Here is a 15042-nt window from a genome sequence, read left to right as displayed (position 1 = left end):
AAGGTCATTCAACAAGTCTCTAGGAAATTACAAACTTTTCAATATCTTCCTGTCTTCTTCTGAGCCCTGCCAACTGTTCCAGCCTCTATCTCTTACCTAGTTCCAATGTTGCTTCCATATTTTCAGGTATCTTTATAGCAGTGCCTTACTCTCGGTGGTACCAAAAGAGTGCATTTTTTTCTTCTCATACTGCTATGAAGAAATACTCAAGACTGGGTAACTTACAAAGAAAAGAGGTTTAACTGACTCACAGTTCTACATGGAAGGCATAGAAACAGAGATTCAAAATAACCTTATATGTAAATAAATAAAACTCCTCAATTAAAAATATACTGTTCACATAGATTTTTTTAAGTCCCAACTCTCTGCTGTTTACAAAAGAGTGACATCATCTGAAAATCTACACAAGGACTAAAAGTGAATGGGGGAAAAAAGATATGCTACAAAAATAGAAACCAATAATGAGCACTTACATCAGACAAAAGAAATTTCAAGTCAAATGCTATAAAGAGAGACCAAAATGGACATTATATAACAAAAAAATGATCAATGGAGCAAGAATAGATAACAATTGTAAATATATATATAATATGTACCCACACCTGAGAACTCAAATATATAAGGCAAATATGTTACATAGTAAGGGACAGATTCTAACTTTATACAATTATACTTGGATAATTTAACACATTATTCAGCATTGGATAGATTATCTAGCCAATAATTAACAGATAAGCATTGGATTTAAACTGCACTATATTCCAAATGGACCTGACATTTACAGAACATTGAGCCAAACAACTTCAGAGCACATATTCTTTTCTTCAGCACATGCAATATTCTTCAGGATTGACCATATGTTAATACAGTACATGTGTCAAAATTTTTATATAAAATGATGCCAACTGTTTATCTGATTAAAGATGAAATGAAACTAAACATCAGTAATTGGAGGAAATTCTCTTTTTTTTTTTTTTTTGAGATGAACTCTTGCTCTATTGCCCAGGCTGGAGTGCAGTGGCACAAACTCAGCTCACTGCAACTTCTTCCTTCCAAGTTCAAATGATTTTCGTGCCTCAGCCTCCCAAGTAGCTGAAATTACAGGTACTTGCCAGCATGCCCAGCTGATTTTTGTGCTCTTAGTAGCGACAGGGTTTCACCAAGTTGGCCAGGCTGGTCTTGACCTCCGGACCTAAAGTCATCCACCAGCCTTGGCCTCCAAAAGTGCTGGGATTACAGGCATGAGCCACTGCCCAGCCTAGAGAAAATTTCAAAACTATATAAACACAAAAATTAAACAAAACACTCTTACATGGCCAATGGGTGAAAGAAGACATTAAGAAGAAAATATAAAAATGTATGAAACAAATACAATAGAAGCGAAACATACCAAATCTTATGGCACTTATCCAAACCAGTATTATGAGGCAAATTTATAGCAATAAATGCCCACATCAAAGAAGCAGAAATATTTTAAATAACCAACATAACAACGCATCTCAGAGAACTTTAAGAACAAGAAAAGGCTAAACTCAAAATTATTTTAAAAAACAACAAAGAACAGATTAGACATAAACAGAATTAAGACTAAAAATACCAGAAAATATTAAAATAACAAAAAAAGATAAGCAAAGTTGAAAGCCATTAGTAGCTGGCTAACAAAAAAAGAATATATATATATATATATATAGAGAGAGAGAGAGAGAGAGAGAGAGAGAGAGAGAGAGAGACAGAGAGAGAGAGAGAGAGAAAGAGAGAGAGAGCCATGACCCAAATAAATAAAATAGAAGCAGAAGATGCCTCAACTGATATACCAGAACTAAAATAAATTATGAAGCACTATAATAAACATGTCTATGTGAAAAATTTGAAAACCTAGAGGAATTAGATAAATTCATGGACACATACTACCTAACAAGATTAAAAAAGAAGGAGTAGAAAGCCTGAACAAACCCATAAAAAGCAATCAGATGGACTCCGGTAAAAGATCTATATCCTGTTGAACATAAATTTAAAAATCTAAAAATACTAGCACACCAAATCAAACAGCATTTCAAATAATAATAATCATAATACACCATGACCAAGTGGGATTCAACCCAGGGATTCAATTACCCTTCAACATACACAAGTCAAAAAACATGTTATATCACATCTATAGAATGAAGGATAAAAACTATATTTCTATATTAATAGATGCAGAAGATGAAAATTCAACATCTCTTCATGGAAAACAACTCTCAATTGTGTACAGAAATAAAGTACAACACAATAAAGGCCACATGACAAGTCCACAGCTAACATCATACTTAAGAGAAAGTAATTTTTTTCTTTTGAAAACTGGAAAAGACAAGGATGAGAACTCTTAGCACTTATTCAACACAGTACTGAAAGTACGCAAGGAACAAGGACATCCTCCCACGGGAATGCAAGAAAACAAAACAGACATGGACACCCATGGAGAGAACTCATTAGACCTGGTGAAGAATAGATAAAAATCTCTTCCAAAGCCTCCAGTGTTCCCAGCTAAATATGAATTGTGGTGATAGACTGAAAATAAGGAGGGGAAGGGAGACATGACTCAAGAGAGGAAAAACCCTAAGAGAGCAGAAAGCAGATCTACACAGAACAATCACAGGACAGATGCCAGAGTGGGGCTGAAACAGGAGCTCATTCTATTGGGTACCTAGTGGAGACCCTTTGACATTTCTTGTGAGGTAATTCTAGTGGTGATGAATTTCTTCAGTTTTTCTTTGCCTGGGAAAGTATTTCTCTATCTTCCATTTCATTAGAAGTGTTTTATCAATTTTATGTTCTTGGGTGGCTGTATTTTTCCCCCAGAAATTTAAATACAGTTATGCTCTGCATAACAAAGTTTCTGCCACTAACAGATGACACAAACAATGGTGGTTCCACAATAATATGCTTCCCTATTTATCTATACCTTTTTATGTTTAGATACACAAATACTACTGTGTTACCATGGCCTACAGTATTTACCATAGTTGTTTCGGGATCACTGGGGTGTTGCTTTTTCTGGCCAGAACCCTCTGTGGCCAGCGGCGACTTTGCCCAAGTTCGTGTCCTACATCTGGAAAGAATGAGGTATGCAGCCATGTGGTGGGTGAGCAAGGCAAAGACTAGCTTCATGAAGCATTCGAGCATCTCAGAGGAGACCCCCAGTGAGTAGCTCCTCTCTGTAGGCAGGTTGACTGGTTGAGTGTTCAGCTCTAAGCAGAGAAGGTAGCTCCTCCCTGCAGCTGGTCGTCCTGTTGTCTTCCCAGTTCTCAGCAGAGAGGGTAGCTCCTCTCTGCAGCTGGTCATCCTGTCGTCTTCCCAGTTCTCAGGAGAAATGGTAGCTCCTCTCTGCAGCTGGTCATCCTGTCGTCTTCCCAGTTCTCAGGAGAGAGGGTAGCTCCTCCCTGCAGCTGGTCTTCCTGTCGTCTCTCCATCTTCTGTCCTGCTCTGGCTGAGCCCAGGGGTTTTTATGGACCTCCGAGGGAAGGAAGTGCGTGCCCATTGGTCCATGGGTGGTCATGGGTGGGCCGTAGACAGCACCACAAGTCCCCACTGTGGTCTGAGTATCTGGGAGCCCGGGCCCAGCCTTCAGGCCCTTCCTGGGGACCCTCCCCCTCTGCACAGGAATCTTCCTGCCTCCTTTTGCAGTTCATGGTCCCTGGGGCTCCGCCCAGACTTTGCTCCAAGATCAGAGCAGGCGCCAAAAGCAGGAAGAAGCCAAGAAGTGGGAGCAGGCACTTCGGAGCATGCAAGAGCAGAGGGCTTTTCCTGGGGACCCCAAGAGTGCAGGGATGCCTGAGGCTGCAGCCCGCGGTTTGCGGGGCAGGGCTTCTGCCGGCTTCATGGAGCGAGAGGCCCGTGTCTTCAGCCGCGGTTTGGGTGGCTGCAGCCACGCCCGGGGAAGGCAGGGCTCCTTCCTGTTCCTTGACCTCCAAGAGCACAGAGTCCGAGCCCACTGCCCTGATTAGAGCAGCTGGAGCTGCCTGAGAGATCAGAGCTGCTGCCTGCTCCTGGCTCCCACCGGCTCCGTGGAACATCAGCCCTCGCTGCCCCTCCTTGCGCTGCCCTTCGCAGCCTGATCCTCTCTGGGCCCTGACCGGTGTCCAGGCAGGGGCGACATCTCCACAAGCTCCCCGCATTGCCCTGGTGCTCAGGGAGGTCCGGGCAGAGCTGATCACGACCCCGGCCGGTAGTCGGGAATGGCGGCCTCCGTGGTCACCCTGACATGCGGCCGAACCCTCGAGACGCGGCCTGAGCAGCCTGCACAGAACCTCCCAAGGCCCAGGAACCCCGCACCCTTGGCGGGGTGGGTACAGCGGCTGCTCCACTGCCCGGGTTTTCAAGGCGGTGCCACTTCCACTTCCCTCCCTGGAACCCCGAAGTTTGACATGGGGGCTCCTTTCTGCCTTGCTCTTCAGCTCCCCTTCCCCCGGAGTAGAGCCCCCCGTTTCCCCGGGTGATCCCTTCCACAGCTGCAGTGTTCTTCATCGGTGTCATCACCTTCCAGATCTGCTGCCCTGCTCTGCAGACTAAGGCTGTGATTCCATAAGAGAGGGGAGCTGCTTCCCAGTAGAACCTTGGTGGGGAGCTCTGTTCCCATCTCAATTCCTGAGGGGTTAAACCAGTGCATTTAGGATACTGGTTTTGGTGGTTTGCCCCTGTTGAGTAATTTCTTAGTTCTGTAGTGGGTGTAAGAGACTTGGCTCTGGAAGCATTTCAGGTGTGGGCTCTGATACACCCCAGACAGACACTTTGGGAAGGGAAGATTTTTGTGACTATTCTCGTTATAAGGGAAAGACATTCAAAAGAATAGAAAAACTCTTCAGTATGTGGTTCCTGAGAATTTCTCACTAAAAACATGCTTATCACACTCGACTCAAAACAGTTCAATGTATATCAGTGTATTTTATCTTGTACTAGCCTATATTGCATTTGGTGAACTCTGCCTCAGTTCAGCTCACACCCTAACTTTGATTCTCCCTACAAGAACTTGTCTCTCTCTAGATTTCAGGCTTGTTGATTGTCTTAAAATTTCAATGATCTGAAGTATTAAAGACAATTTGCAAAAGTCCATTTTCTCTGATTAATTGTTATTGTTGATTTTATTCTTGTTGTAAAAAAAGAAATTCTCATCTATATACATTTCAAATCTGAATAACAAAATTTTTATTAACACCAAAAATAATAAAAGAATCCAAATATTTTTCAGCTGCCTAATAGAAAAACAAATTATGGTAACTTTGTTTACTGGAATGCTACCCATCATTCATAATAAAGGAATTACTGATATACACAATAAGAAGATTAAATTATCAAGTATTTAAATAGAGTAAAATAAGCCAAACAGATAAGAGTATATATGATTCTATTTTTAAAAATTCTGGAAAATGAAAACTGATCTAAAGTAATATAAAGAAGATTAGTAGTTGCCTGGGAATGTGTTGGCAGAAGGGAAGGAGAAAGGATAAGGAAATAGAAATAGGAAGTAGAAGGACAGAAAAGAAGTTGAGGGAATTTCACTTGTCCACCTTCTTTATAATGGTAATAGTTATGTCACGATTGTCAATTTTACACTTTAAATATGTAAAGTTTATAATCTGTCAATCAAATCTTATAAAATTTATTATCAGGAAACAAGTTGAAAATTAGACAATGTAGGAGTGACAGAAAGATAGATACAAGTATGTTAAATGTCAGAAATACCTGAAAGTTACCTACCTGAACCCTAGTTCTCTCCATAGTTTAAGGTAAACAGGAGAGTGCAGCAAAATCACCCATATTCTGATTAGGCAGTGACTTCTGCAAACCACACTAGGCATGGCCAGCTCTGTCCTGGAGTTGGCTAAGGGAGGAGTCAGGGCCAGTGGTGAGAAGTGCAGGCCCAGACACCAGCACTCACCCATCCCAGACATGAGCTCTTAGATACACAGAGAGCCCATCCATGTGTGGGTTTACTTTTACATCTGTAAATAGATAACATTGACTCCTACAGAACATAATTTACACACATAGGTAAATCTGAAATAAGGTGATCAGTGCAAAGATTTTATCACAGCACAGTTTCATAATAAGCACAATTACTCAAATCCCATTGTTGTCACCCATCTTCCTCAGGACACTTTCATCTGCCCTGGGTCCTGCTCTCTCTTCAGGTGTCTCACCGCAGAGCTTGCTATATAGTAGGAGATATGCAAATAGGGCCCTCACTCTGCTGAAGAAAACCAGCCCAGCCCTGACCCTGCACCTCTGGGAGAAGAGCCCTAGCCCTGGGATTCCCAGGTGTTTCTACTTGCTGATCAGGACTGCACACAGAGAACTCACCATGGAGTTTGGGCTGAGCTAGGTTTTCCTTGTTGCTATTTTAAAAGGTGACTGATGGAAAACTAGAGACATGGAGTGTGAATGGACATGAGTGAGATAAGCACTCTGGCAGTTTCTGACCAGGGTGTCTCCGTGTTTGCAGGTGTCCAGTGTGAGGTGCAGCTGGAGGAGTCTGGGGGAGGCTTAGTACAGCCTGGAGGGTCCCTGAGACTCTCCTGTGCAGCCTCTGGATTCACCTTCAGTAGCTACTGGATGCACTGGGTCCGCCAATCTCCAGGGAAGGGGCTGGTGTGAGTCTCACGTATTAATAGTGATGGGAGTAGCACAAGCTACGCAGACTCCTTGAAGGGCCAATTCACCATCTCCAGAGACAATGCTAAGAACACGCTGTATCTGCAAATGAACAGTCTGAGAGCTGAGGACATGGCTGTGTATTACTGTACTAGAGACACAGTGAGGGGAAGTCAATGTGAGCCCAGACAAAAACCTCGCTGCAGGGGCATCTGAGACCACGAGGGGGTGTCCTGGGCCCTATGAACTGGGCTGCTCTCCGTGGCAGGGGCTGGTGGTGCTAAAGGCTGATTTTCTCTCAGCATCTGGGGCTGATTCATCAAGTTTCCTCAGAGAACCTTTCAGATTTACAATTCTGTACTTACGTTTAATGTCTCTGAATGTGACACTTTCCTTCCCTGGTGTGTCTTTGTTTTTGTGACAGGAGGACACATTCTCACCTCCACAGAAGCCTGAGTGTCACTTTGGGGACAGAAGTGTCCCTGCCCTGGTCACCAGAATCAGAGTCCTGAGGAAGCCCAGGGGAACCTGGGAAGTGTTTTTCAGTCAGACTCAGGGCAGGCGTCTCTGTGGGAATCTCTGATTGGAACAGGCTTTGGGATTCAGATTGGGACCAAGAGGGAGGCTCGCCCAGGGCCTGGGTCCTTAGAATCCTGACAGTTTTCACAGTAACCCCATCGTCCTTTAAAACTGAACATCTGACTCAGAACTGATCCATTTGGTCCTTTCTCTGCTAATCCATTTTCCTTTTCTCTAGGCTTCAGTCTTACACTTCCCTTTTCTCCTTTATTCTGAAAATGGAGGGTGTGCTTCCTGTGGTCTAAACCACAGGTCTCAGATGCATTACCTGGAACTCAGGTGTTGCTGTGGCTGTGGCTCCTAAGGACCTGGCAGGCTGAGGGATCTTTCTCATTTCCTGGTGCCTGGATGCCCCTGCTGTCTTCTATGCACAGATGCATTTGGGAAATGCAAGTGGACACTCATAGTCGTTTCCTCAAATGGGATACTGATATAGAGCTGATCTTCTGCTTCTCACCCTGTCACAGAGCCACCACCGTCTCTTGTGGACTTTTGGGAGAGCTGAGGATGGACACTTGATTGGGCTGTGAGCTCTGAACGATGGCAATTGTGAGATCTGGCTAGGCACAGCCAGAGCCAATGGAGCTGGCCATCCGGAAAGACAGGATGGAATTCCTGGGAAGTCCTACAGCTGCTGTCCACCATAGAGTTCCATTGTCTTCTCCTCTGCTAGGATTAAATCAGACCGACCAAGTTCATCTAGGACAATCTTCCTGACCTAGAGAAGTGATGACAGGCTTTAATAATACCTGTATTATACATCAGAGCAACACCTAGATTAGTGTTTGATTGAATAACTGAGACTATGTCCCAGTCAAGATGACACACAAAATCAATTATTACCATGATTAACATTTTACATTGATTAATATTTTAACACTAATATTAATCAATGCAATATTGATTTAATATTAATTAATATTTTATATTTGACAATAGAATCAGACTTTGTTATAAATAATTTTGCAAAAATATGAGTATTATCATTGGTCTTCTGAGCAGAAATCTCCAGTAGCCGATTAAGTGTGCATGCATTGGTCGAAGGAGGGCATCCACTCTTTTGAGGGAAAATGCATGGAGGGTAAATGAGCCTGGGGAAGCTGATGGCATATGATGGAAGCCTGTCCCTGAGTGAAGGAGAGAGGGAGACAGGATTGGTTGGAACTTTCTTACATTTCTGTGCTGTGCAAAGAAAGTCCAGATTATCATTGAGTCTCCTGCAAGACAAAGTTGCCCCTCAGGAAACCCCCATCACTCCCAGCAATGACTCTGACCCAGATGAGTGCAAGGCTCACTCTATTCCTGAGAATGGAGCACAGGATATGGGATTTAGCATGAGCCACGTCATGGACGTCAGAGAGCAGCAGCTGGGTGCATGATCCAAGTGTACGGTTCTGCCTGTAGGTGGAGGGAGGAAGGTGCATTCCCAGAGCTAACACACTGTGGATTTTTATACAGAATACATGTTTTCACCTGATTTATTGGAAGGCATATGAAAAAATGGGCAGTCCACAAACAATTGTAATTTCCAGATTTACCACAATTGCATTATTTCTTCATTCTGCACGATGTCCGGGAACAGAGTTGCATTTTTCATGAGTATTGTTTCATGGATTGAGAACATGAATTTCACACCTGCACTTTTAGCCATGTGCAGAGACCTTGAGTAGAGCATGTCTGGACCTCATCTACACTATCTCTCATGCCCCAAGGGAAAGAGTGGAGACTTGACTGACAGCAAACTTTGGGGAATTAATGAACGTTAATATTTTCTTATAGACTAATAAACATATTGGGCTAGAAGATCTACTCAATGGGAAAAGTAAGGTTTTAGTTATCCCTGTTGAAAGTTTTTTTTTTTTTCATTTATTTTGCTGCATTTGAAAAGCTGGTGATCTTAACATTGCCTATATTTTTAATAATCTTAAGATTTTTTAGTTTTTATGTTTTGTTAGGGATCAGGCAATGGAAGATGCATATTTATAGATGAAACTTACAATATAAGGTAAATATTGACTTACTAATAGTTATGCGAGAATATTTATTTGATCCCAATTTTATATAGTTGAGTGTGTGAAGTTGCAGGTCAAGATAACTTGGAGTTTCAACACCAAGTTTTATTCATGTGTTCATTCATGAACAGGATGCCTCCAATGTGGAGAAATTTACAATGAATAAGCATGAATAGGACCTGGCCAGTGAGCTTTCAGTCTAGCAAGGAATGTAGAACAGGAACATAGCAACTCTAATCCAATGTAGAGAGAGAGACAATTTTAAATCCAATTGAAAAATAAATAGCTGTGTTAGACTGAGGCCATCAAATAAAGCTTCATGCAATAAGTAGCAATAGGTCTTCAAAGATGACAGTTTAGCAAAAGGCACAAAGATGAAAAGTGCAGAGCATTAAGTAGTGTATGGTTTAGTGTGCTGGAAATAACAGGTTGGACAAGAGTTGTGACTAGGATAAACAGCAAAAAGGATTTATGAGAGCCTGATGGCCACTAGTGACTGGGTAAGATGTGTACACTTTCTGTGCAGGAAAAGGGACAAAGCTTTTGAGCAGCAGAGAAACATGATCAGAGGGATGCATGAGGAAGGTCCTGAAAACCCTAATGAGTAATCTTGGTTAAACCATTTCACTATAACTCAAGTTTTGCATGTATATACTATAATAGAAACAACATTTGTGCTCTTCCCATATGTAGAGAGGTCAAAAGAAAATCTGTTCATATAATCTTCCAAGCCAGTCACAAAGACTAAGACAAAACACTTACATAAATAAAATTCATAAGATGAATTTTAAAAGATGAAAGATAGTCAATACATTTTATTTTATAACTTGGAAATTTAAACTCCTGAAAATATACCTTAATTTAAAATACGGAGGAAAGGAACAAAATCAATGTGCAAAAATCACAAGCATTCTTATACACCAATAACAGACGAACAGAGAGCCAAATCATGAGTGAACTCCCATTCACAATTGCTTCAAAGAGAATAAAATACCTAGGAATCCAACTTACAAGGGACGTGAAGGACCTCTTCAAAGAGAACTACAAACCACTGCTCAATGAAATAAAAGAGGACACAAACAAATGGAAGAACATTCCATGCTCATGGGGAGGAAGAATCAATATCGTGAAAATGGCCATACTGCCCAAGGTAATTTATAGATTCAATGCCAACCCCATCAAGCTACCAATGACTTTCTTCACAGAATTGGAAAAAACTATTTTAAAGTTCATATGGAACAAAAAAGGGCCCGCATTGCCAAGTCACTCCTAAGCCAAAAGAACAAAGCTGGAGGCATCACGCTACCTGACTTCAAGCTGTGCTACAAGACTACAGTAACCAAAACAGCATGGTACTGGTACCAAAACAGAGATATAGACCAATGGAACAGAACAGAGCCCTCAGAAATAATGCCGCATATCTACAACCATCTGATCTTTGACAAATCTGACAAATACAAGAAATGGGGAAATGATTCCGTATTTAATAAATGGTGCTGGAAAAACTATTATAATTGATAAAAAAATTCTGTAAATTTGCAGAATACAACACCTACATACAAAAATTGGTGGCATTGCTAAATGCAAACAGCAAAAAATCAATAAAGCATTTTGTTTATAATAGCTAAAAATTATATTTCATATTACCAAATAAGTGAAAGATTTCTAAAAGAAAACCAAAAATGATTGATAATAAAATATAAAGCAAACACACACAAATTGAAAATATATCTGAAATATTCCATGTTCATGGTTCAGAAAAATTAATAGTTATTTTTTTCTTTCTTTTTTTATAATAATTTAAGTTCTAGGGTCCATGTGCACAACGTGTAGGTTTGTTACATATGTATACATGTGCTATGTTGGTGTGCTGCACCCATTAACATTACATTAGGTGTATCACCTAATGCTATCCCTCCCAGCTCCCACGACCCCATGACAGGCCCCGGTGTGTGTGTGATGTTCCCCACCCTTAGTCCAAATGTTCTCATTGTTCAATTCCCACCTATGAGTGAGAACATGCGGTGTTTGGTTTTCTGTCCTTGTGATAGTTTGCTCAGAATGATGGTTTCCATTTTCATCCATGTCCCTACAGAGGACATGAACTCATCCTTTTTAATGGCTGCATAGTATTCCATGGTGTATATGTGCCACATTTTCTTAATCCAGTCTATCACTGATGGACATTTGGGTTGGCTCCAAGTCTTTGCTATTGTCAATAGTGACACAATAAACATAAGTGTGCATGTGTCTTTATAGCAGCATGATTTATAATCCTTTGAGTATATACCAAGTAATGGGATTGCTGGGTCAAATGGTATTTCTAGTTCTAGATCCTTGAGGATCACCAAACTGTCTTCCACAATGGTTGAACTAGTTTACAGTCCCACCAACAGTGTAAAAGTGTTCCTATTTCTCCACGTCCTCACCAGCGCCTGTTGTTCCCTGACTTTTTAATGATTGCCGTTCCAACTGGTGTGAGATGGTATCTCATTGTGGTTTTGATTTGCATTTCTCTGATGGCCAGTGATGATGAGCCTTTTTTCATGTGTCTGTTGGCTGCATAAATGTCTTCTTTTGAGAAGTGTCTGTTCATATCCTTCGCCCAATTTGTGATGGGGTTGTTTGTTTTTTTCTTGTAAATTTGTTTGAGTTCATTGTAGATTCTGGGTATTAGCCCTTTGTCAGATGAGTAGATTGCAAAAATTTTCTCCCATTCTGTTGGTTGCCTGTTCACTCTGATGGTAGTTTCTTTTGCTGTGCAGAAGCTCTGTAGTTTAATTAGATCCCATTGGTCAATTTTGGCTTTTGTTGCCATTGCTTTTGGTGTTTTAGACATGAAGTCCCTGCCCATGCCTATGTTCTGAATGGTATTGCCTAGGTTTTCTTCTAGGGTTTTTACAGTTTTAGATCTAACATTTAAGTCTTTAATCCATCTTGAATTAAGTTTTGTGTAAGGTGTAAGGAAGGGCTCCAGTTTCAGCTTTCCACAAATGGCTAGCCAGTCTTCCCAGTACCATTTATAAATAGGTAATCCTTTCCCCATTTCTTGTTTTTGTCAGGTTTGTCAAAGATCAGATGGTAGTAGATGTATGGTATTTTCTGAGGGCTCTGTTCTGTTCCATTGGCCTATACCTCTGTTTTGGTGCCAGTACCATCCTGTTTTGGTTACTATAGGCTTGTAGTATAGTTTGAAGTCAGGTATTGTGATGCCTCCATCTTTGTACTTTTGGCTTAGGATTGACTTGGCAATGTGGGCCCTTTTTTGGTTCCATATGAACTTTAAAGTAGTTTTTTCCAATTCTGTGAAGAAAGTCATTGGTAGCTTGATGGGGATGGCATTGAATCTGTAAATTACCTTGGGCAGTATGGCCATTTTCACGATATTGATTCTTCCTATTCATGAGCATGGAATGTTCTTCCATTTGTTTGTATCCTCTTTTATTTCGTTGAGCAGTGGTTTGCAGTTATCCTTGAAGAGATCCTTCACATCCTTTGTAAGTTGGATTCCTAGGTATTTTATTCTCTTTGAAGCAATTGTGAATGGGAGTTCACTCATGATTTGGCTCTCTGTTTGTCTGTTATTGGTGTATAAGAATGCTTGTGATTTTTGCACACTGATTTTGTATCCTGAGACTTTGCTGAAGTTGCTTATTAGCTTAAGGAGATTTTGGGCTGAGATGATGGGGATTTCTAAATATACAATCATGTCATCTGCAAAGAGGGACAATTTGACTTCCTCTTTTCCTAATTGAATACACTTTATTTCTTTCTTCTGCCTGATTGCCGTGGCCAGAACATCCGACACTATGTTGAATAGGAGTGGTGAGAGAAGTCATCCCTGTCTTGTGCCAGTTTTCAAAGGGAATGCTTCCAGTTTTTGCCCATTCAGTATGATATTGGCTGTGGGTTTGTCCTAAATAGCTTTTATCATTTTGAGATACATACCATCTATACCTAATTTATTGAGAGTTTTTAGCATGAAAGGTTGTTGAATTTTGTCAATGGCCTTTTCTGCATCTGTTGAGATAATCATGTGGTTTTTGTCTTTGGTTCTGTTTATATGCTGGATTACGTTTATTGATTTGTGTATGTTGAATCAGCCTTGCATCCCAGGGATGAAGCCCACTTGATCATGGTGGATAAGCTTTTTGATGTGCTGCTGGATTCGGTTTACCAGTATTTTATTGAGGATTGTTGAATCTATGTTCATCAGAGATATTGGTCTAAAATTCTCTTTTTTTGTTCTGTCTCTGTCAGGCTTTGGTATCAGGATGATGCTGGCCTCATAAAATGAGTTAGGGAGGATTCCCTCTTTTTCTATGGATTGGAATAGTTTCAAAAGGAATGGTACCAGCTCCTCCTTATACCTCTGGTAGAATTCCGCTGTGAATCTGTCTGGTCCTGGACTTTTTTTGGTTGGAGTCTATTAATTATTGCCTCAATTTCAGGGCCTGTTATTGGTCTATTCAGGGATTCAACTTCTTCCTGGTTTAGTCTTGGGAGGGTGTATGCGTCCAGGAATTTATCCATTCCTTCTAGATTTTCTAGTTTATTTGCATAGAGGTGTTTATAGTATTCTCTGAGGGTAGTTTGTATTTCTGTGGGATCGGTGGTGATATCCCCTTTACCATTTTTTATTGCATCTATTTGATTTTTCTCTCTTTTCTTCTTTATTAGTCTTGCTAGTGGTCTATCAATTTTGTAGATCTTTTCAAAAAACCAGCTCCTGGATTCATTGATTTTTTGAAGGGTTTTTTGTGTCTCTGTCTCTTTCAGTTCTGCTCTGATCTTAGTTATTTCTTGCCTTCTGCTAGCTTTTGAATATGTTTGCTCTTGCTTCTCTAGTTCTTTTAATTGTGATGTTAGGGTGTCAATTTTAGATCTTTCCTGCTTTCTCTTGTGGGCATTTAGTGCTATAAATTTCCCTCTACACACTGCTTAAATGTGTCCCAGAGATTCTGGTATGTTGTGTCTTTGTCCTCATTGGTTTCAAAGAACATCTTTATTTCTGGCTTCATTTCATTATGTACCCAGTAGTCAGTCATTCAGGAGCAGGTTGTTCAGTTTCCATGTCGTTCTTTCCTTCCTTCCTTCTTTCCTTTCTTCCTTCTTTCCTTCCTTCCTTCCCTCCTTCTTTACTTCCTTCCTTCCTTCCTTCTTTCCTTCCTTATTTTTTTCCTTCCTTCCTTCCTTCTTTCCTTCTTTCTTTTTTGACAGAGTTTCAGTCTTGTCACCCAGGCTGGAGTGCAGAGGCACAATCTCAGCTCACTGCAACCTCCACCTCCTGGGTTCAAGTGATTCTCCTGCCTCAGCTTTGCGAGTAGCTGGGAATACAGCCACCTGCCATCATGCCCGGCTAATTTTTGTATTTTTAGTAGAGACAGGGTTTCGTCATGTTGGCCAAGCCCGTCTCGAAGTCCTAACCTCAAGCGATCCACCCAGCTCGGCCTCCCAAAGTGCTGGGATTACAGGTGTGAGCCACTGCACCCGGCCTTTTTTTTTTTTTATTTTTTGATAAAAGTCATCTTAACTGAGGTGAGATGGTACCTTCTACCATTCTGTAGGCTGTTTGTGAACCATGTTGATTATTTCTTTTTTCTGTGCAGAAGATCTTTAGTTCAGCTAAATCCCATTTGTCTATTTTTGTTTTCATTGCATTTGCTTTTGCAGTCTTAGTCATATTTTATTTGCCTAGGGCAATGTCCCGAGAATTTTCCTTACATTTTCTTCAAGTATTTTTATAGTTTCAGTTTATACTTATAAATATTGAATCTATATTCAGTTAATGTTTGCCTCTGGTGAGATAGAAGTCTGGTTT

Source organism: Homo sapiens (assembly GCF_000001405.40).
Source record: "Homo sapiens chromosome 16 unlocalized genomic scaffold, GRCh38.p14 Primary Assembly HSCHR16_RANDOM_CTG1".
Classification (NCBI taxonomy): domain Eukaryota; kingdom Metazoa; phylum Chordata; class Mammalia; order Primates; family Hominidae; genus Homo; species Homo sapiens.
Note: the sequence above shows the minus strand (reverse complement) of the source record.